This window comes from Homo sapiens, chromosome 8 (genome assembly GCF_000001405.40).
Source record: "Homo sapiens chromosome 8, GRCh38.p14 Primary Assembly".
Taxonomy (NCBI): domain Eukaryota; kingdom Metazoa; phylum Chordata; class Mammalia; order Primates; family Hominidae; genus Homo; species Homo sapiens.
This window is the reverse complement of record NC_000008.11, coordinates 55,194,255-55,216,538: the sequence shown is the minus strand read 5'-3', so window position 1 is coordinate 55,216,538 and position 22,284 is coordinate 55,194,255. Positions and strand designations below refer to the sequence as shown.

The 22,284-nt window shown below is 39.8% G+C and overlaps 1 protein-coding gene across 1 annotated transcript in view, besides 1 other annotated feature; it reads right to left on the bottom strand.

Annotated features, from left to right (window-relative positions):
* XKR4 (XK related 4) overlaps window positions 1-22,284 on the bottom strand; it is a 440,027-nt gene that overhangs the window by 325,516 nt on the left and 92,227 nt on the right. The gene's annotated exons all lie outside the window — the stretch shown is intronic.
* Window positions 3,876-4,170: a silencer, noted in NCBI's record as "tiled region #131; K562 Repressive non-DNase unmatched - State 24:Quies". NCBI's record gives its function as "represses a minimal TATA promoter and a strong SV40 promoter by Sharpr-MPRA in K562 cells {active_cell/tissue: K562}" and the evidence as "EXISTENCE:reporter gene assay evidence [ECO:0000049][PMID:27701403]".

Genomic DNA, 22,284 nt, shown 5'->3' with positions numbered 1-22,284 from the left:
ACAGGCTGGTCTCGAACTCCTGACCTCAGGTGATCAGCCCGCCTTGGCCTCTCAAAGTGCTGGGATTACAGGCGTGAGCCACCATGCCCGGTCTGTGGCTAACAATTTTTATTATATTTTAAAAATCCTTCTCTACCCTAAGTTCATAAAAATATTACTCTATATTGCTCAATTTTAATTCCTTGGTCACTAGGGCTTGATAGCAAGCAGGGCATGTGCCACCTCATTTGCTTCTCCAGGAGAGTTTTGGCAATACTTGCTTTTTTGCCCCCATTTCCCTTCCATATACATTTTAGAATCAATTTGTCACATTCCTGTGAAAGTACTCTATGGATCTGGATTACATTTTCCTTGATCAATTTGTAGAGAATTGATAATGCATGATTTTTAATTTTCCTATCCATGAATATAGTATATATCCACTTAATTAATTCCTCTATAAAAATGTTCAATGACTTATAAGATTTTTCCACAATTGTCTGGTTTATTTTCATCATATGTATTTTTCTTTAGTAACTTATGTGTTTAGATTCTAATAAAGTGGTAAGTGCTATGTTTTTGTGGGGAGAGGGCAGTTTTCTATGTAGACAATCATGCCATCTACAAGAAAACAGTTTCTTTTCAATCGCCATCATTATTTATTTTGTGTTCTTGCATCATTCAATACCTCAAAACAAAATCAGCACTAGTGGGCATTTTTGTCTTGCTGTTGATTTTAAAGGAAATATTTCTAATGTCTTACTACTAAGAATAATGTTTGTTATAGGTAGAGGTCCTTTCTCAGTTTAAAGAAATATGTTCTTGTCCTAGTTTCTGAGAAAGTTTAATTATAATTAGTTGTTGAATTTTATTATTTTTTTCCTGCATCAAATAAGACGATTATTAAACAAAGGCTTTTAACCTAAAAATCTAAAAATCAGATTTTTTAACATTTTTGTCTATTGTTATGGTGAAATACATTTATAGGTTTTCTAACATTAAATTATTCTTGTGTTCTAAAGATGAATCCAATTTGATCCTAGTTGGATTCAGTTTGCTAGTATTTTGTCTGGCAATTTAACTTCTGTATCCATGAGTGCAATTGGTCTGAAATTTTTCTTTCTCATACTGATGTTGTGTAGTTTCTTACCATATAATGAATTGTCTGTAAGGTGTGCTGTCTTTTTTCTATTCCTTGGGAAAAATATTTTAAGATTGAAATAATTCTTAACTACTTATTCCAGAAAAAGCTTTATTATGCTATATGCACCCAAGGAGCTTTGCTGGACTAGTTTAGGCATACAACCTATACATGTTTGGGCAAGTTATGACCTCAGTAGTAAGCCCTACAGGGTTCCCCCTAATGTCACAGGGGATGAATGACGAGTTATGATCTATCACATGTGATAATACTCAGCAGCTAAATGAAGAGTAAGGGAAAAAATAACAAACTTGGTCTGGGCTTTAGGATTTTTTTTTTTTTTTAACCATACTCTAAACCCAAGTAAGTTTAAAAGGCAAATGATAAAGATGTTAAAAATTCACAATATAGGAAATATGAACTGATGGTAGAATCACAATTTACTATTCTATGTTGCTAAAGACACATACCCTGGAGAAAGAATAATTTCTGGCATATTTTCTTCTTTTATATGTGTATTTCATAAATGAAAATTCTCTCATACATCAAGAAAGACATAAAAAAATGATGCTTTGTTTTGTTTTATTACTGGTCCCAGAGACAAGCAAAAAGCTCCTTCACACAGCAAAGTGGAGGGTAGTTCCTCCTCCTTTCACCCCTCCCCTTAGGTACCCACAGGTAAACAGGGGACTTTGGGGTCAGTGCAACCCTGCCCACTCCACCCCTGGGCCAGAGAATTAAACTCTAGATTACCACGGTCATTACAGGGATGCAAAACTTCAATTTCAATGAGATTGAGGGGCTTTCCTAAATGAATCTGTGGTGTTTTAAAATGAAAAACCATCACTACTCAATATATTTTGGTGATGTCCATGTACCTGTATAAATGTGATCAGTGATAGCTGGACATTCAGGACAAATTAATCTTCTCATTCATTTATTCCTTCTTTATCACCATATGTACAATACTCACTATAGTAGGGTATTGAGCTAAGAATTATGTAAAAAACAGAAAATAAAATAGTACTAGACACTAAGTTAAGCACTGTGAAAATTACAAAGTTAAATAAGGCAGCATGATTGACTTGGATGAGCTTAGAAATGGTATTGCCCTCAGCATGTTTACGATCTAGCATTTTTATTCACAATATGCATACAGGTACCAGGGCTTTTTAAATTTACTGAATTGTGCTTTAGTTACTTAAATTTTTATTTTACTTTGTCTGAACTGACAAAGTAAATAATAAGTACTAAACAGCTGGGTGCGGTGGCTCATGCCTGCAATCCTGGCAACTTTAGGAGGCTGAGACAGGCAAATCACTAGAGGGCAGGAATTCGAGACCAGCCAGGCCAACATGGTGAAACCCTGTCTCTACTGAAAATACAAAAATTAGCCAGGTGTGGTGGCGCACGCCTGTAATCCCAACTACTCTGGAGACTCAAACAGGAGAATTGCTTGAGCCCGGGAGGCGGAGCTTGCAGTGGGCGGAGATTGCACCACTGCACTCCAGCCTGGGCAACAGGAGACTCGTCTCAAAAAAAAAAAAAAAAAAAAAAAAAAAGAAAGAAAGAAAAAAAGAAGTATTAATAGTAAACTGTTATTGACTCTATTGAAACTGCCTTTGCAAAAATTATAACAGAAAATTACGATAGTGAAAGAGATCTGACCTGAGTCCATCTTACTTCTAACCTCCAAAATGTCCTTGTTCATTCCTGGGCATAGGCTGAACTACCTTGGGAGGAACTTAGTTTATCGTTTAATTTTGAAACAAAGATGACAGCAGCCCTTTCCCAAAACAAACCCCCTTCTTGCCTGGGAGCCAGACTACCTTTAAAGATAGTCTAACTAACAAATTAGTCACAACATTAGAAATTATGATTTAGGAGTTATGCAGCTAGAGACTGCAAGATTCTAAACTTTCCCAATTGCTCCTAGAGGTTACATCACTATTGTAAAACCTAAGATTGGTACTCGAGATACTTTTCAGACCCTGCACTCCATGGATCAGCTGATGCCACCCAGATTGATAAACTGGCTCATCTGGTCTTGCAGCTCCAACCTAGGAACTGACTTAGTGCAAGAGGACAGCTTCGACTCCCTATAATTTCATCTCCGACCCAACAATCAACACTCCTCACCCTCTGACCCCTACCCACCAAATTATGCTTCGAAAACCCCAGTCTCTGAATTTTCAGGGAGACTGATTTTGTCAGAGGTGTTCGAGCCAAAGCAACTCCATCTTAACTGAGGGTTAGGAAAATGAGGCTGGGACTTGCTTAGCTGCATTCTCAGAAAGTTAGGCATTCCTAGCTTCTAGACGTTTATGGTTAAAGGAACAGACTGGTAGCATTTACTAAACAGACCCAGACTTACGAGTGTCCTGATATTCCAATATCTTGAGAACAGAAGCATTCCTAATTTTGCTTTAAAGATAATAATACCTTTATCTCACAGTGTGCAATCAATCCTTTTCAATAAATTTTATGTTGGTATTCCAATATTCTTTAATAAATAATTCTAATATTTTAAAATAATTCCTATACTCTTTAATGTATAGCTATTCTGTTACAAAAACTGGATGAACACCACCCAACGATTTGGTCAAGGCTGGTGCTCAGAATGGAGAAAACCCAGGAATGCATCATCCTTTGCAGAGTTTTGCTGTAACGAGATTTGCTTCTGTCTGAATTCCATGAATAGCACTCATAGTAGTAGCCTCTGAATTTTTAAGGACAAAACAAAAAGGTGTAAACCAAAAATAAAATTCTAAGCTTCCCAACCAGCTGCCTTTAAATGCCTTTGGCCCTCTCCTCAGCCAATGGCATTTTAAAGTAAACCTGAAGTACTAGTTTAGGCCATGATGGGAATAGATGGTAGGATATGCCTCATTATACCTCCCTCCGCTTGGAATTTAGGCACAGCTGACCAGCATTAACATTAACACAGACACCTTAAGACTGACCAAACAGACTCTTTCCAGCAATAAGATACCAACATGACAGAGAGCAGATCTTGAATAAAATCAAAGTATTTTACTCCAAAATGTATTTCTTTGACCTACTTTGAAATGGCCCTGCAAAGCTATCTCCTGTGGGGAAAATCTACATTCCACAGAGAATCTTCTTCATTTTCCATGTCTTTTTCCTGATCCAGGAGAGAATTAACTAAGTGTATGGTACCTTTTAAAGTCTAATAAGAAACATTTACAATCTATTGCCTCTGAAGCCTGCCACCTGGAGGCTTCATCTGCATAATAAGAACCTTGGTCTCTGCAACCCCACCCCTCTGCCTTTTTTTTTTTTCACCCAGACACTCCCTTCTATTGATTCCAGGTCTTTAGATAAACACCAATTGCCAATCAGAAAGTCTTTGAATCCACCTATGACCTGGAAGCTCCCTGCCCCTCCACCCCCTTGGGGCCTCCACCACCTCATTCCAAGTTAGACCAAACCCATGCACATCTTACATGTATTGACTGATGTCTTATGTCTCCCTAAAATGTATAAAACCAAGATGTACCCTGACCACCTTGGGCACATGTTCTCAGGATCCTCTGGGGCTCTGTCATGGGCCATGGTCCTCATATTTGCTTGAGAATAAATCTCTTCAAATATTTTACAGAGTTTAACTCTTTTTCAATGACAAAGACAATGAAGAATACTTGTGGAAAACTATTTTTTCATGTCTATAACTGAAACCAGTAGGTTAGTATTTGGGCAGGATATACTTTAAACGTAACTCTAAATGGCTTTATTTTACCCGAGTGAAAAAGGAAGCACAAATTCTTAAAAATTGAAAACCCATGCCCACATTCTTTCCCATGGAGTAATTAAATAAAACTGTCTTATGGTAATTATTAAAAGACAGAGAAACAGTAATTTTAAAAAGTGAAATTCATATAGTGACATACCATAGTAAAGACCTAATTTGAGTTGGAAATATTGAGTACTCCCTTCCTAACGTAGGACATTCCTGGCAGACACCTGTCAAAGAAGTTGTATTTCAAATCTTGATGTGTGCAATGGTCATTTTGACAAAGTGCTTGACTTAATCTCCAAGTCTGAATCTGATTAAAGGGGGGACAATGAAATTTTCCTCTTCTTTGAAATATAAAGAACAAAATGGCAATACTTAAAGCTTCTGAGTAAATAAATGTAGATGTACTATAAATGATATTTGAATGCTTTAGGACCTTCTATCTAAATTGTCTCTAACTGACTAATAGTTTAAGAACACAATTTGAATGTGAGAGAGGAGAAAGGAAGAAACCAATCAGGCAGGCAGTTAAGGTGGGTCCTTGGTTAAATTCTTTCAAACAAAAGAACAGCCTGAAAAATCAAGTTGCAGGCACAGATAAGGGAACATGACCAGGGCCTTGATTAAGATATCCCCACAGCTGCATAGCTAAGAAAGACTACACAGGATACTTGCCCAGACAAGCCCACAATGGAAAATTTCATCCCCTGACATATGTGCAGTCAGGGGAACAAAGTAGCATGGAGTAACTCAAGCTAAGAACCTATGTGTGCACTAGGAGGAAAGGGTGGAACTACCAGAAATGCACACCTTATGCAAATGAGACACCCTGCCCCCTGTCAATTTCTTATAAAAGCCTCTGTATCCAAACTGTGAATTGGCAACCCATTTTTCTGGGACCCACCCCTCTCTGTAGCAAAGAGCTATTGTCTTTCTTTCACTTATTACATTTCTGCTCTAAACCTCACCCTGTGTGTGTCCACGTCCTTGATCTCTGTGGCCATGAGACAACAAAACTTGGGTGTCACCCCAGAAAATGGGGCTTCTTCAAATCCCTCAACAATACGGAAAAACAAAATAGTTTTTCTTCTTTTTATAATCATTTACAAACCTGCCATTTTATTCATGGGAGAAAGATGAAAACTATGAAAAAGATCTGAAAACTGTCATAAAAAATATTTACATTTACCACAGCAGTTAATCTTGATCACACATAGGTGTGGTAACTACCTAGACAAATGCAAATTACAAGACCAGAATTAAAGATTGGAGAGGATGGGCTGGATGTGGTGGTTCATGCCTGTAATTCCAGAACTTTGGGAGGCTGAGGCAGGTGGATCATTTGAGGTCAGGAGTTCGAGACCAGCCTGGGCAACATGATGAAACCCCATCTCTACTAAAAATACAAAATTAGCCAGGCGTGGTGGCGAGCACCTGTAATCCCAGCTTCTCAGGAGGCTGAGGCAGGAGAATCATTTGAACCCAGTAGGCGGAGGTTACAGTGAGCCAAGATCACGCCACTGCACTTCAGCCTGGGCAACAAAAGCGAAACTGTCTCAAAAAAAAAAAAAAAAATGGAGAGGATGAAGGCATAAAACTCTAGAAAAGATGAAGTCTGTGTTTCCTGGCCTGGACACCAATATGAGTTCATCATTCAATCTTTGGGAAAATTTTAGGATCTTTCCATAACTAGGTCTGCAAAAAACAAGTACTCCCAAAGATTCTGTCTTCTTGGGCCCCAAATACTTGGACTCATGTCTAGAGGAAAAAATATACGTTCAAAATCAGAAAAAGGCATGGGTTCTCATACTGGTCTGTCCATTTAAATCTTACTTAGAAGGCCAGCAGGCACTCAAGCCTCTTCTGGTCTCTCTCTGGAAAGGGATGGGATGTGTGTTGTGATGTGAAAAGAAGAGGATGGGCCTCCTGGCCGGCAGAGCAGATGAGCAGCTCCTTGCAGCAACACGCACCTGGCCTCACAGCCACATCAACCTCACAAACCATGTGTGGGACATGGACCACAATGGGACCTCCTGAGAAAGTTGGCTTCCCCACGGCACGTCCGCGGAGCACACCACAGCAGTGTGTGGAAGAACTCTGCCAACACCAGTTATGATTGCTATCCTTAACCCTGCCCTCCCCACAATACTCTCTACCTTAAAAAACGTGTCTTAATAAAATCAGGTGGAGGATGCACAGCGTGGAATTAAGCGCACGGGCTCTGGAGTCAGACTGTCTGTGTTTAAATTCCAGACCCATCACTAGCTAGGGTGAGACTCTAAGTGACGAGCAGATTAATTGATTTATCTCTGTGCTGAGTCTCCTCGTCTGCAAAATGGGAACGAGGACAGCAAGTGTGGGAGCCCATGTGTAAAGCACTGAGCTCAGTGCATGCCTCTAGCAAGTGGGGGCTGAGCAGGTGAGAGAAGAATAACACACACACACACACACACACACATAAACACACTGCTCTCCCTCTTTGGGGCCACGTTCATTGTGTGGAATTGAGTGAGGTCAGAGCTGGAATTTACTGGCTTGGGATGGCTTTCTGCAGCTACTCAGCCGGTTATTCAGCGCAAACCTGGTTGCCTATGAGCCACAGGAGATCTTTTGGGAAGATATTAATTTGAAACATGAGAGAAAAAAAGACCAAGAAAACCAATGACAGTGTTGAATTACAGTTTATCAAATAAGGCAAAACTTCTCTTCATCCTCTACATACAACCTTTGATATGTGTCCATCCACTGGAAGGATCTTTTTACTTATTAGCTTGGGACTGATCCAAGAGCAGCTTGTCCATTCACATGCATCAGCACAGGCCAGGCTTGCAGGGGACAAACTGCGGGGGTCCACACGGTAGGGTTTTAAGGTTTCTCTCACAAAAGAAAACAAACTAGGCTGGGTGTGGTGGCTCATGCCTGTAATCCTAGCACTTTGGGAGGCTGAGGCAGGCAGATCACAGAGTCAGGAGTTCAAGATCAGCCTGGCCAATATGGTGAAATCCCGTCTCTACTAAAAATACAAAAATTAGCTGGGTGTGGTGGTGGGCGCCTGTACTCCTAGCTACTTGGGAGGCTGAGGCAGGAGAATCACTTGAACCCGGGAGGCAGAGGTTGCAGTGAACGGAGATCGCACCACTGCCTGGGTGATACAGCAAGACTCAGTCTCAAAAAAAAAAGAAAAGAAAAAAGAAAACAAACTATAACAATGAGAAACTTTATTCCCACTTAATCACTGGATCTAAAATAACACAATTAGAAACCCCCTTCACTTAAAGGTATTTTCTCTTATGGCTAAGAGGTGTATTGGGAAAAAATACTAAATGTGAGGAATTTTCATCATATCTCTGCTACTAGGCATGTCACAGAACAAGCGAATTGGGTTTTATGGACTTGAGTTTCTTTAACTAAAATACAGCACTAGGACTCTAGTTAATAATATTACATACTGGAAATTTGCTAACAAGAATAGATTTTAGGTGCTCTGACCACATACAAAAAGGTAACTCTGTGAGATGAAGAATATGTTAATTATTTGACTGTAGTAGTCATTTATGAATATGTCTGTCAAAACATCATGATGTGCACCTTAAATATACACAATAAACATAATAATAAAAAACATCCCACATTAGACCAGAGGATCACTATAGCCCACAGGCTACTATCATTCTGCTAAAACAAGGTAGCTGGAAGTTTGTGGGTCAAATGTCGTCTCCAAACATTTATGACATGGTTTCCTGAAGCAGTTGTAACAAGGGGAGTTGAGGAAGAAGAGAGGGCCTGGGGAACGTGCTGGAGGTGAGGTCTAGACACCCTAAAATCAACCTCTCTGGTTTCTTAGATTTAATCACATGGCCCAAATTGATTCTCCCTCCCCACTCCCTCTCCCCCTCCCCCTGTATTCCTCTTTTTCTTCCTCTTCCTCCTCTTCTTTATGAGAAGATGAACAAGGATTGGTGTCCCATTTACTAAAATTCAATAGGAGCAAAAGACGTGTGTGTGTGTGCGCGTGTGTGTGTGTGCGCGCGCATGTGTGTGTGTGTATAAGGTGTGACATTCACATTTTGCAAGAGAATGGACAGTAATTGAGGAAGGATTGGGGCTAGGGATGATAATGACAAGGTAATAAAGATCCCTGCTATGACAGAACTGAAAATGTAATGGGGCTGACAAGTGTGTCACACATAAAAGAAAGCCCAGTACACACATGTACAGTATGATACAATCTCCTGTGCAGGGAATGAATGGAATAATTAGGGTTGGGGAGATGCTTGAGGAAAGGCATGGTCACAGAGAATGTGAGATTGACACAGCATCCTGAATCTCTATTTGTAGATAGGCTCTGGACACAAATGTCCCACTGTGGGAGGAACAGGGGTGTTGGGCAGGTCACCGGTCAGCCACTGCCCCACCCTGCCCCCAGGACCCATGCATGCTAGATGATAAATTCCAGCTAGCTAGCTTGGAAGCTGCAAAGAAGTACAGTCCTTACCAGTGAGGCAGGGGAGACGAGAACGGGACAGCAGAGCACCATGCCATCTGGGGCAGGACCTCTCCTTCCCTGCTCAGCGTGCTTTCAGTTTGGGAATTTGGGGAGAGTGAAATTTCTCTTCCAAGCCTCTATTGCTAGTAGAAATGCCAAGTGGATCACAGGACTCAGCTGGATTCTCCCTGATTAAGCAGACTATGCCGCGGGGCAGGGTGGTCTTCTAATATGTGTCAGTTATTCAGCTGAATGAGAGGGTTTCCAATTCCCATTCCTGCAAGAATGCTCTGTAATTCTAAGCCTTGGCATCTTTAGTAAAATTTACATTCTTTCTGCAATAACTATATGGGATTTCTTTCACCAGTTCAAATCTAAATCTTTACTCCTGACCACGAAAAAAAATGGTCTTCAAAACTGCATATTTTTAACCAAAAATTAATGTTTCTGCAAAATCGTAAGTATGTCAAAAATCAAATGCCTGCTAAGGTGAACAGTCTAACTTTTTCAGGGGCAATATTTGTGATTTATCTGATAGTTTCTCTTTTTGAGAAGTTGGGGTTTTCTTTATCATAATTGTAGGTTTATTTTTTTTCATCTCTGGCTCAGAGCAGATATTCAATAAATGTAGATGAGCAAAAGGAAAAAGAATGTTTTTCATTTTGTGTGTGCTGTGGATGAAGGAAATTTTACATGCTTCATAAGTTATTTTTATTAATATATGCCCTAATGAGAGGTGAAGCCAGGTGGGCTCCTGGGTGGGTGGGGACTGGGAGAACTTTTCTGTTTAGCTAGAGGATTGTAAGCACACCAATCAGCACTCTGTGTCCAGCTAACAGTTTGTAAATGCACCAATCAGCCCTCTGTAAAAACGGACCAATCAGCACTCTGTAAAATGGACCAATCAGCAGGACGTGGGTGGGGCCAAATAAGGGAATAAAAGCTGGCCACCCAGCCCCAGTGGCAACCCGCTCCGGCCCCCTTCCATGGTGTGGAAGGTTTGTTCTTTTGCTCTTCGCAATAAATCTTGCTGCTGCTCACGCTTTGGGTCCGCACTGCCTTTATGAGCTGTGACACTCAACTGCGAAGGTCTGCAGCTTCACTCCTGAAGCCAGAGAGACTACGAACCCACCGGTAGGAACAAACAACTCCAGACGCGCCACCTTTAAGAGCTGTAACACTCACTGCAAAGGTCTGTGGCTTGACTCCTGAAGTCAGCGAGACCACGAACCCACCAGAAGGAAGAAACTCCGGACACATCTGAACATCTGAAGGAACAAACTCTGGACACACCATCTTTAAGAACCCTAACACTCACCACGAGGGTCCGCGACTTCATTCTTGAAGTCAGTGAGACCAAGAACCCACCGGAGGGAACCAATTCCGGACACAGTAAGACCATATGGGACGTACATTTTCTCATCATGAGATGCTCCAGAGAAAAATGACTTACTTGAATTCCCACATCTAATGTTTTATCAAATATAAAACTTTACTGTGGCTTTACTACCTTCTTAAAATTATTGAGTAAATGATACTGCAAAAGAATGGAAATTAAACAATGTTGATTTTTCTAGGTCACATTTTTCACTAATAATTAGTTTTTTAAAAAGATGTTATAGGAAACATTCTTTGGCCAGTATCCCCAAGAAAATAATGCTGCACTTCTTTTTTTTCTGAATTTGCTGTTTCCGGTTTGTTGTCATCCTAAGTACATTTGTTCATTTATTTCCCAAGTCTTTATGCAGCCTCTCGTTATAAAAACAGAATAGAAGGAACAGTCTCTGCCTCTAAATTTGAGTCTAATTTTATGACAACAAATTTGAGTCTAATTTTATGACAACAAATACATGTCAAATAGTTTAAGTACAAAACAAAATAAAATGTCAGAAAGTACAATGTGCATGTTGTATGACATGAAAATTGTAAAACATGATCAGCTAGGCAAGAAAGATTTTTGCTTCTTAGAAAAGGCTGGCCTAATAACCATCTCCTTTACTCAAAATAAGGAAAATTTTATTTTGCTGTTTATGTTTTAGTAAATATAAGAAAGCACAAAATCAAATGGGTGTTTTTCACTTTTCCAGCTGTGCTAGCATTAATCACAGCACTTCTGGAAAGCCTCCTGGGGAACTGTCTTCACAGTTCGTCGGCAGCAATTAGGAACACGAATTACGCCTGACACATGATCTGAGTCAGTGCCTAGCCAGGCACCAAGGGCCCACCCAGCTGCCTTCCATGTCATCTAACAGTGCCCCTGTTGGGAGTGTCTCAGAGCTTTTTGTATCTACTATCAAAATGTGAAAATGTATCACCGAGTCATTCTTATTCTCTTCCATTTTGTCATTTCTATTATTACCAGAAACTAAAAAAAGTATAGAAAATGTACTTTTACATTTTTTATAAATTATTCTCAGGGATGAGAAGTTATATGTTTGAAATTCCAGCTCAAAATATTCTTTCCAAGAATTTTCCCTTCCTTAACCCACTCCAAATTCCAATCTTTCTCTACTCTCTGTATCCTCAGATTTACATTATCCAGGTTTTTTGTTCATGTGTTTCATTTTTTATTGACGACCTCTTGTGTAGAAAAGAGTTGCAGACATGGGCTACGTGGGTATAAACTGGCACAGCCTTTGTGGGTGACATCTGGCAATATTTATCAACACTCACAAATATTTATACTCTTTGTCAAGGAACTTTTGTGCTTCAGAATTTATCCAAAATATCAGAGAATTACATATAGATGTGTGAAGATTTTTATCACAATTATTTAAAAGAAAAAATTATATATAATGTAAGTATTTCGGTGGCTAAATGGCGACATAAAGTTTGGTCCATTCCATTTAATTCCATTTTTAATGCTGCTTGTCGTTGTGATTTGTTGGTCAATAACTTTGGATTTATTTTAGGAGGCTGAGGTGGGAGGATTACTTGAAGCCAGGAGTTCAAGACCAGCCTGGGCAACGTTGCGAGAACTGTCTCTACAAAACAATAAATTAGCAGGGTATGTTGGCACTTGGTATAGTCCCAGCTACTCCAGAGACTGCGGTGGGAGGGCTGCTTGAGTCCGGGAGGTTGAGGCTGCAGTGAGCTATGATTACACCACTGTACTCCAGCCTAGGGGACAGAGCAAGACCCTGTCTAAAAACGAACAAACAAAAAACAAAAAGCAAAACAAACACCCAAAACTACTATGGATTCACTTTATGTACACATCTCTTCCAGTGAATCAAAGGCTCCAGAAAGGTGAGGTTCTTTCTGTTACTTAAAATAAGGCCACATATCTCCATAGTGCCCTGCAAAGTGCTCTGGACACAAAAGTTACGTGAGTGCTTGTTAAGACCCAGATTTTCCCGAGAGCCAGAAACCCCTTTATGAGTCATTTTCTGCAGCTTAGTGGTTTTCAGTGTTGGCTACACATTCCTCCAGTGACCTGGGGAGTTTAAAAGATAGCAGTGCTGGGACCCCATTACCAAAGCCTGTGAGTTAACTTGTCTGAGTATGGCCTGGACGTGGTGCTGAGTCAGGTTCCCCAGGTGGTTCTAACTCCAGCCCAGGCTGAGCACTGCTGCCCCTGCCACAATCTTCTTCAAACCTCCCCAGTAAGAAGGACCTGGAAGCTTATCGTACACACAGGCTACCAAGCCTATCTTACATCATCCTCATTCAATAGGTCTGAGATGAGGTCTCTCTTATGAAATCTAACCACCCCTGCAGTAATCTTTATCTTCAGGGAACTTGGGAAACACAGGGATAGCTCATGGCTCCCCTGAAAGTAACTAGGTGCAATAAAGCCAACTCTTATTCATCTGTGCCATGTCGTCTTCGTGCCCACCTTTGCGAACCCTTCCCCAGCAGATGCAGCTGTGAGGTGTGTGAAGATGCAGTTGGGGACTGGGTTGGCAGGGAAGGGCAGAGAAGCGAGGACAGCATGGCAGGCGCAATAGTGCAAAGCCAAGTTACAGGCGCCGTGCTTGGCGGGCCAGTGCTTTATTATTACAGACAATGAATCACAGCTGGTGCCAGTTGTGCTGGGCACACATGTCTGTCATTTTATCCGACACCCTGGTAGCTATTCTGTGCCAAGCTCCTTACCCCACATTTTACCAAGCCTGAAATTGTTTGTACCTTGCTACACAGGGAACAAGCACTCAGTGAAGCAGTCTCCTCGGTCTTTCAAATGCCTGCAACTTCGTTCAGTGAAGTGTAACCAACCCTCCAGCTGTGGCTGGATCCACAGGCTCTCCCTAAAGGTCAGGGTGTACGAGCCAGCAGGGCTGCTCTGCAGACTTTGCAATGAGCTTGGAAATCTCCATGTCTAAAGGTTGCTCTTTTGGACCTTGAAAAATAAGTTTGCCTTTGAGCCTTTGACTTTAGAAATGGTCTCATTTTGTTTTTCAAATCTTCATCAACGATGATTCATTTTAGTCTGCCTGGCCTTTGCTTAGAAGCAGACTTAAATCTTAGCCAAATGAAAGTACTCCAATATCTCGAAAGTTACAAGTCACAAGTATGCTGAGATCCCAGCACAGGGCATGGAGCCCAGCAAACCCCAGACCTTCAGCTGTAAGTGCTGGTCATCATTTCCAGGTGAGCCACGATGACAAAACTTTGGAAAACACACCTAAAGAGCCTTATAGTAAGCCAAATGCTGAGCAGGAAACTAACGCTCCTTGGCAAACCCTGAAATGTTAATTGTTGGCCTGGAATTGTCTGGAAGGCACTGAAGATGAATTCCACGTTTGTGGAGGGGCCCCTTGGTGAGGGCATCCTTTCAGGGCATGACTCCAGCCTAGAAACTACGTTGCTTCGCCCTTTTTATAAACCTCCCGAGGCAACTCCCAGCCTCCCTCGGTAGTTATCCCACTCTGGTTCCATAAATCATTTCACTTCTGGTAAGGCCACGAGCCAACTGGCTGTAATGACATATCGAACCCTCAGGTCCCTCATACCCCCGACTGATGATGTATTCACCAACTTTTAAAAGGCAGGTCCAAGCTATCAAGTGCCCTTCAAATTTGGAGCCAACTTCCTTGTTAGGATTTTGTCCTTATTAGAATCTGAGCAGTTGTTGGCACCAGTTCTTTCCTCTTCACACCATTTGCCTGAGTGGGAAAATTCTTGAGCAGTTACTCTTCTTTAATGCGGGTAATAAAGCTAATATCATGGCCTCCATTTTGTAAATAAATAAACCATATCTCAGTTTTAGCAACCGAAGAAAGACACTCCTTTTTAATAGAGGACACCTGATTTAATAACACATTTCTCAAACAACACAAATAGATGCCCTATATGGACACAAGATATTGATTGGAAACCATCCTTTCCTATAAATGCTCAACTTTGTAGGCAACAAGAGGCTGTACCAATTCAGCAGGAATGTGCATGCGATTTCAGTACTTATCCAGGGCCATCAGAACATTGGCTTTCAATTGGGCCATGCAGCCATCCCTCACTTCACACAGAACACTGGAAAATTCCAGAAACAGGTCTAAAACTTCAGTTCTTATAGCTTATGGTTACAAAGCTCCCCACTTAAGTCACAAATTTTAGCCATAGAAATAGCAAGCATTCTAGAGACAGGGTAAGAGGTCAAAGTGGAGACAGGAGGGGGCTGCCCACCACATAGCACCTGTGTCCTCCCTGATGAATTCCAGACATTCTCTGGGTCTCAATTTTCCCAGAAATGCTACGAGAAAAATGACAAATTTTAAATTACTCTCCAGTCTAGAGAGGACAGGGATATATAAATATAACAGAGTAGTCTCCTTACTGTGCAGGTTAAACTAAGCTTGCATTATCACAGCATGGGCTGTCACCATACCTATTGTTGGCATAGAAATGTCCCAGTGACATGACAATTTTTCAGATGCATTGTCTTCTCAATTCAACTGCAGCCACAATATTTTTCAGTACCTCTTTATTTGCCTGCCTTATTCTAGGCTCTGCAGATATATATTGAAAAGACAGAGTACTGATTAATCTTGATTTCTTCAAGGCTTTCAACTAGCAGACATAAAGTCAATTTTATAAACTTGATTTATTTTTAAATTCACATTTGTTTAATTATCTGTGCTGGAGCCAATACATATCCTTAAAAAAACAACAGATAACCACAACAATAACAAAATCCCCAAGAAATTAATATGATGTTTCCACTGGCAGGAAATGCTTCTCAAATAAGTAGTACCTACATTATTAGTTAATATAAATAGAAAGGATATTTTAGTATGATTCAGTTAGCCCATTGTTAACTATGATTCAATACTAATACAGCTAATAGCAACTGTCTACAAACATAAAGTTCTTAGTTTATTACCAAATGTGTAACCTGTTTAGCCATTATTAAAATATTAAAACATTACTGTTTCTGCTGGCATATGCTACAGAAGTCCAGAAGGTAATTATCTCATGTATAGTCAAGCAGCCACAGATACCTCTCTCCCGTAAGACTTTCATAGCAAGGCTTTCTTTTTGTAACAGTAAAAATCACACTACATCATACTACTGTGTCAACATATTATTGCAAATCTGAATTAGAGAATAACCTGACTTATTGGATACAGTGATTTTTTAACTCATATGTCTTAAGTGCTTGGAAAAGCTATGGTCACTTCTATTTCCATAAACATTTTACTAATATTATGTTTATACTTAATTTTCTTAGCAAATAGATGAAGTATAAATTGTAGGATTGCCTAAATTATCCACCAAAAGTTCTGAATATGTAACTGTATTTGTAATCACATGTCTGGCTACCTTTACCCTCACCATGTTTTATTGGAACTGTAAAAGGATATAGACTGGCCGGGCGCAGTGGCTCACGCCTGTAATCCCAGCACTTTGGGAGGCCGAGGCAGGTGGATCACGTGAAGTCAGGAGTTCAAGGACAGCCTGGCCAACATGGTGAAACCCCGTCTCTACTAAAAATACAAAAATTAGCTGGGCGTTGTGGTGGGCGCCTGTAATCCCATTTACTTAGGAGGCTGAGGCAGGGGATTCACTTGAACCCAGGAGGCAGAGGTTGCAGCTGTGAGCCGAGATTGTGCCACTACACTCCAGCCTAGGTGACAGAACCAGACTCCGTCTCAAAAAAGAAAAAAGGATACAGATTTACCCACATGGTACTGTCTGATGTGGATGACATAGTGATGCAGTTTGGAGTTGAGGGCTTTGGAATCAGAGGTTATAACTGCTACAAGGTTCTACACCTTGCCAGCTACCTGACCTCAGGCAAGAAATTTAACCTTTTTAAGCTTTGGTTTCTTCATCTGAAAAATGGAGAAAATAATAGTACCTACCCAACAGGATACTGAGAAAATTAAAAAACAATGCAAATAAAGTGCATAACACAGTATCTGTCACGTAATAAGCCTTGGATAAATGTTAGCTGCTACTATTATGTGGCTATCTTACAGTACAACACTAAAGGGACCACTGATCAAGCTAGAGGAGTTGTTTGTTTATTTTCTCTAATGTTAGTGATCCATAGCTGTGATCAGAAGAGTTGGCATGTGGTAGAGAGAGTCAAATTAACAGTCCAAAGACTCAGTGCTCAGATCCTGTTACTTATGAACTCTGAAACTCTGCGCAGGTGGTTAATATCCCTGAGCCTCTGTTCCCCCTCATCTGCACAATGGGGACCTAAAGATAACTTACAGATAGGTCTGTGGTAAAGATGAACTAAAATAACCATATGCAGAATTATTTTAGAAAGCGCACAGTACCTAAATGATGTAAGTTATTAATGGGTGCTTTAAATAAAAGGAAATGATGACAAAAACTAACAATTATCTATGAACTACACACAATGCTAAGCACTTGATTCATTATCTCCTGTCCCTAACTGTAATCTGATATCACAGAAAGGAAATTATGCAGTTTAGCAATCTAGGGATAGCTGAATTCTGATATTCCCCTCTCTAGTTTTACCATTTTTTTTTCTTTTTTGTAAACAAAGTCTGACCCAGTCCACTGTTGTTTTGGGAAGTGCCTTTGACCTTCTATCACTGTACATCACCTCTAGCTCTGTAATGAGCCACTTTACAATGCTGCGTTAATATGTAAGAACTTCCTAAATACAAACTGTAAGTACTACAAGTGCATTTATTGCCTTAACCTTGTTGTCCACATTGAGATAAGTTTTTAATCACTTCCTTATACGTGAGCTGAATCTTTTAAAAAATTGTTTTGCATATCCTTTCCAAATGCAGGAAGATGGGGGGTTTATAGCTGGTTCAAACTTAGATTGTCAGTTTGCTAAAGTTAAGGCTAAATTATATTTTCTGTAGACATCAAGATAATAGCATCTCTCACTATAACAAAGTGGGGGGTCAGTGTGTGTTTGTTATGCTTGTCCTAATGTCATAAAAGGATTCTGGCTATCACCCACTATTACAGGGTTGTATATTATACAGCTATAAGAATGCCATTCACATTGTAATGATTGTTATTTATTATAACAAATTTCTGGCAGATACTAGTATTTCTTCTAACATTTTCTAAGATATGAACATAATTTTTCTAGCAAAATCAGTATTTTACTATAATTTTCTAACTGATGACAAGTGTATCCAAAAGTAAGAATCCATTTCCCAACTTATATGAAAGCACCCATATGAGTTACAGTTATACAAATAAATATATTAACATATATTTATATATACATTTTATTATAACATATAAAAATATGCACCTATTTATAACATTATATTTATAACTTTTCTTGACTTAGACCATCAATAATTAATGCCTTATTATCAGTTTAAAGTTGCTCTTTTACTGTTTATACTGGTTTTTGATCATCCATACCATATTCCATAAAAAAGGCTATTGACATTCAGGAAGGTATGTTTTAGATTTGGCGTCACACTACAAGTTACCCAGGTTGAGTAGATGTCATTGTCACAACCAGTCATTACTTTGATAAAATCCCCATCAGGGTAGCGCAGATATTATATTATTTGGTCTCAGGCCACGGAGACCCAACCTGGTTGATCTGCACAGGCAGAGGAATTCTGCCCTGAATTTGTTGGCTGCCAAATTGGAATCAATGGCAGCCGTGATAGAGATGTTCCTGCGCTTCATGAAGAACAGATCCAGAGCATCAGGGCCTGACATTGCCAAGTAAGCAAGACCTTTGATTTTCATTAAAACATTTTACTTGGCCAGTGTAGAGGCCTTCAGTCTGGGCATTTATTTATTTATTTATGGTACCACAATTCTCAGGCCCAACATACAATTAGGCACAACTTCAGTGAAAATTTTTTACTGTAATTTTAATCAGGAATTTTAGTCATGAAACTTTGTTTTTAAAAATAAGCTGAACCCGGTTGGGTGTGGTGGCTCACGCCTGTAATCCCAGCACTTTCGGAGGCTGAGGCAGGTGGATCACGAGGTCAGGAGATCAAGACCATCCTGGCTAACACAATGAAACCCTGTCTCTACTAAAAATACAAAAAACTAGCCAGGCGTGGTGGCGGGTGCCTGTAGTCCCAGCTACTTGGGAGGCTGAGGCAGGAGAATGGCGTGAACCCAGGAGGCGGAGGTTGCAGTGAGCCGAGATTGTGCCACTGCACTCCAGCCTGGGTGACAGAGCGAGACTCTGTCTCAAAAAAAAAAAAAAAATTTAGCTGAACCCAGCGCTTTGGTGTTAGACAGATTTCATTTTAAAGTTTAAAATAGAAAGCTCATATGGAGCTTATTTTATCCATTCATGTAATCACATTAAAGATATCACAAAGTGAATACTTTTTGTCCATGAAGTAGCAAAAATCCACTTTTCGCAAGCAGTTCCTTAACAAGCAGCTCATTAACAGCTGATGTGGTTAAGGACGCATCCTACTAAATGGTATTAATATACCAGCAATGTATCACCTAATATAGAGGTGTGTGGAGACAACCCATTCAAAGAATCACAAAGCAGGAGAGAATCAGATTATAGATATATGGAAATGGCTGAGACGATTGTTGAGCTGAATCATCAAGAGTTGTTACAGCTTTTATGGTATTACCCCAAAGCATCAGTGGCATTATCATAGCCCCTCAAACTGCAGTGTAAACCATCAGGTCCTCAATTCTCCCTCCTGACATCCATAACTAGCAGATTATTGTAAGGGAATATGAATTGTTTTTCTCTCCCCACTTGTCTCCATTATGGGCTGTGTTACTAGTTACTGAGCTTGCATCATCATTCATACCAGAAATGGCTATAGGTGAAGGAGCCGGAAGTCCTCTGTTGAGCCAACGCTACCTTTCTTCTTCTAGCGTCCGTCCAATCACATAACATTCACTGTGTGCAAGCAGAGGCAGACACCCAGAGAGCACCAAAAAGAGGGTCATCCTTCATTTCGTCCATTTTATCCATTTTATGCTGTCCTAAAAGATTCTAATTCACTCTCCCTCTTTCTAATTCATTCTTATTCTTTTAATAGAATGAAAATCTAAATATTAATAGCACTGGTGCTTTTTTTGGATTCTTTCCTTTATTCAGCTAATTCAATTGTTTCCTAAATTTCCCCAGCACTTAACATTATTTAAGCAAACCATGTCTTAATCCCCATATGACATTTTCTCTTGCAAACCTACAATCTGATTTTCTTAGTTTGTTAGATAATAATGCAATGTTTTAAAGATATTCCATTACAAACTTTCCAAATCTGGATTCAAAATCCTTAGTGAAAGTACAACAGGCCAGGTGCTGTGGCTCATGCCTGTAATCCCAGCACTTTGGGAGGCTGAGGCGGGCAGATCACCTGAGGCCAGGAGTTCAAGACCAGCCTGACCGACATGGAGAAACCCCATCTCTACTAAAAATACAAAAAATTAGCTGCGCATGGTGGTGAATGCCTGTAATCCCAGCTACTCAGGAGGCTGAGACAGGAGAATTGCTTGAACCTGGGAGGTGGAGGTTATGGTTAGCCAAGATCGCACCATTGCACTCCAGCCTGGGCAACAAGAGCGAAACTCCATCTCAACAAAAAAAAAAAAAAAAAAAAGGAAGCACAACCACCCACATGTTCCTGTGGGATTTGCTATATTTACTATAAAGAAGTAGAGGGAAACTGTCTCTTGACTGAGTGGCTTCTCTCTGCCTGACCTGCAGCATGAGGACACCACCCTCAGCTCTGAGAGCTAGAGAAGAGTCCCTCTGCAACAGTTTCCGACAGGAGCATGCTGTGTCCCTCTGGTGCCATAAAGCAGCAGATGGCACTGACTTTCCCGGAGACATCTATAAAACCATAAATTCCTAAGCCATCTGGTGAGAGACTGATTTGGCAGGTTTGGGGCGTGGCCTGAGCTGTGGTATTGGTAAAATGTGAAAATACCTCTAGGTGCTTTGATGGGCAGCCTTGTTTAGAAACCATGGCGGCTAACATAAATAGCAGTCTTCAAATATTTGTTTGTATATGCAAAACTAAACACCTCCTCTGATATTTAAAGTAGAAACCTAAAAGTGCTTAAGTTTTAAAAATTGTAAAGGACATATAATTGACATCATTTTCAATTTTAACTTCTACAATTTTAATTTTGCAATGGTTTCCAAATATCTGAGCAATTTGGGAGTTTAAATTGTTCATTTTAAAAATATGTAAACGGTTTTTAAAAAACTAGATATTTTTTATAACTCCATTTTCTCCTTGAGTTTTTATTTCCATTGTACTTCCTATACTGTATTTCAGGCTAATAATAAATTATTTATATTTAGGCTATATATTATACTAAAATATATGTTATATATAATAGTATATTTTATTTAAAAAACTAATTGATCATGCAATTATACTTGCCTGAAATAAAAGGTATGTATACAAACTAAAATGAAAATGTAAAAGAGATGATCATAGAACTCTCAGTGTTAAATTTTATTTTTGTTATATTATTATTAGTGTACAATTCATCAAAAACATAAACGTTATATTTTTGATAGATAATTATTAACATTAATAGTAAAATCTGATGGTAAATGAATCTAATATGAGATAGATACTGCTTTTTTTCCAGTTAGTTCATGGACTTGTCGGTGAAAATTATTTGTTGCTGAAATAAACAAGGGACAGTATCGACTCTATTTCTTCCCTCCCTTTTTATTTTTAGAATTAAATACTAAAAAATCTTGTTCGCATAAATAGATGGGAACAGAAGCAGTTTCTTTTTAGAGATCTATTCAATTCACTGTACTCTTTCCAAATTATACGTTCCCAGTCACGTAGACATCTATCATGGAATATAATTTTTTTACTCATCTATCACCTGGCAACTTGATTAGGCCCTCCTTTAATTTTATGAAAAGCAAAGAATTAGAAACCAGCTAGCTTGTAAAAGGATTTGTTAGCCACAGATTGCCTCCCACTCACTAATACCACTGACTTCTTTCATCAATATTTGAATCATTCCTTTGTTTGACACCTGAGAGGTTTTTGCTACCCCAGGGCTATTAGAGGGCTCCAAATGGGTGCATCTCTTTCTCATAAAGTGAGAAAGACTGACTGTGAAAGCCTTAGCAGGAAGGGAGCACTGTGGAGATTAATTTTAGCACAATATATAAGGAAGCAAATGATCTGAAAAGTCTGAGCCCACATATCCTGTTGAGAGCCATCATTTTTTTCCAACGGTATATTTATACCTGTTTGAAGACCGCTGCCTTAAAGTGTGCTACGAGTCTCTTTCTGTAACTTTGATTGGCACCCACAGAGTAGCTAAGGCAAGAATAATGTCCTGCAATCGTGGTATATGGGTAGAAGGCACCTAAGCCTGAATCCTGGCTGGAGAGAAGGGAGCCTTACTTGCCTTGGCTGTGAGGTCCTCTAAGTGGGTCAGCCTTGAGATCTCCCTGAAGCAGCCAGAGAGGGAGGCCTGGCCAGTCGTAGTCAGGGTTCATGGGAGCTGACAAAAATATTTCAGGAACGTCTCCATGGC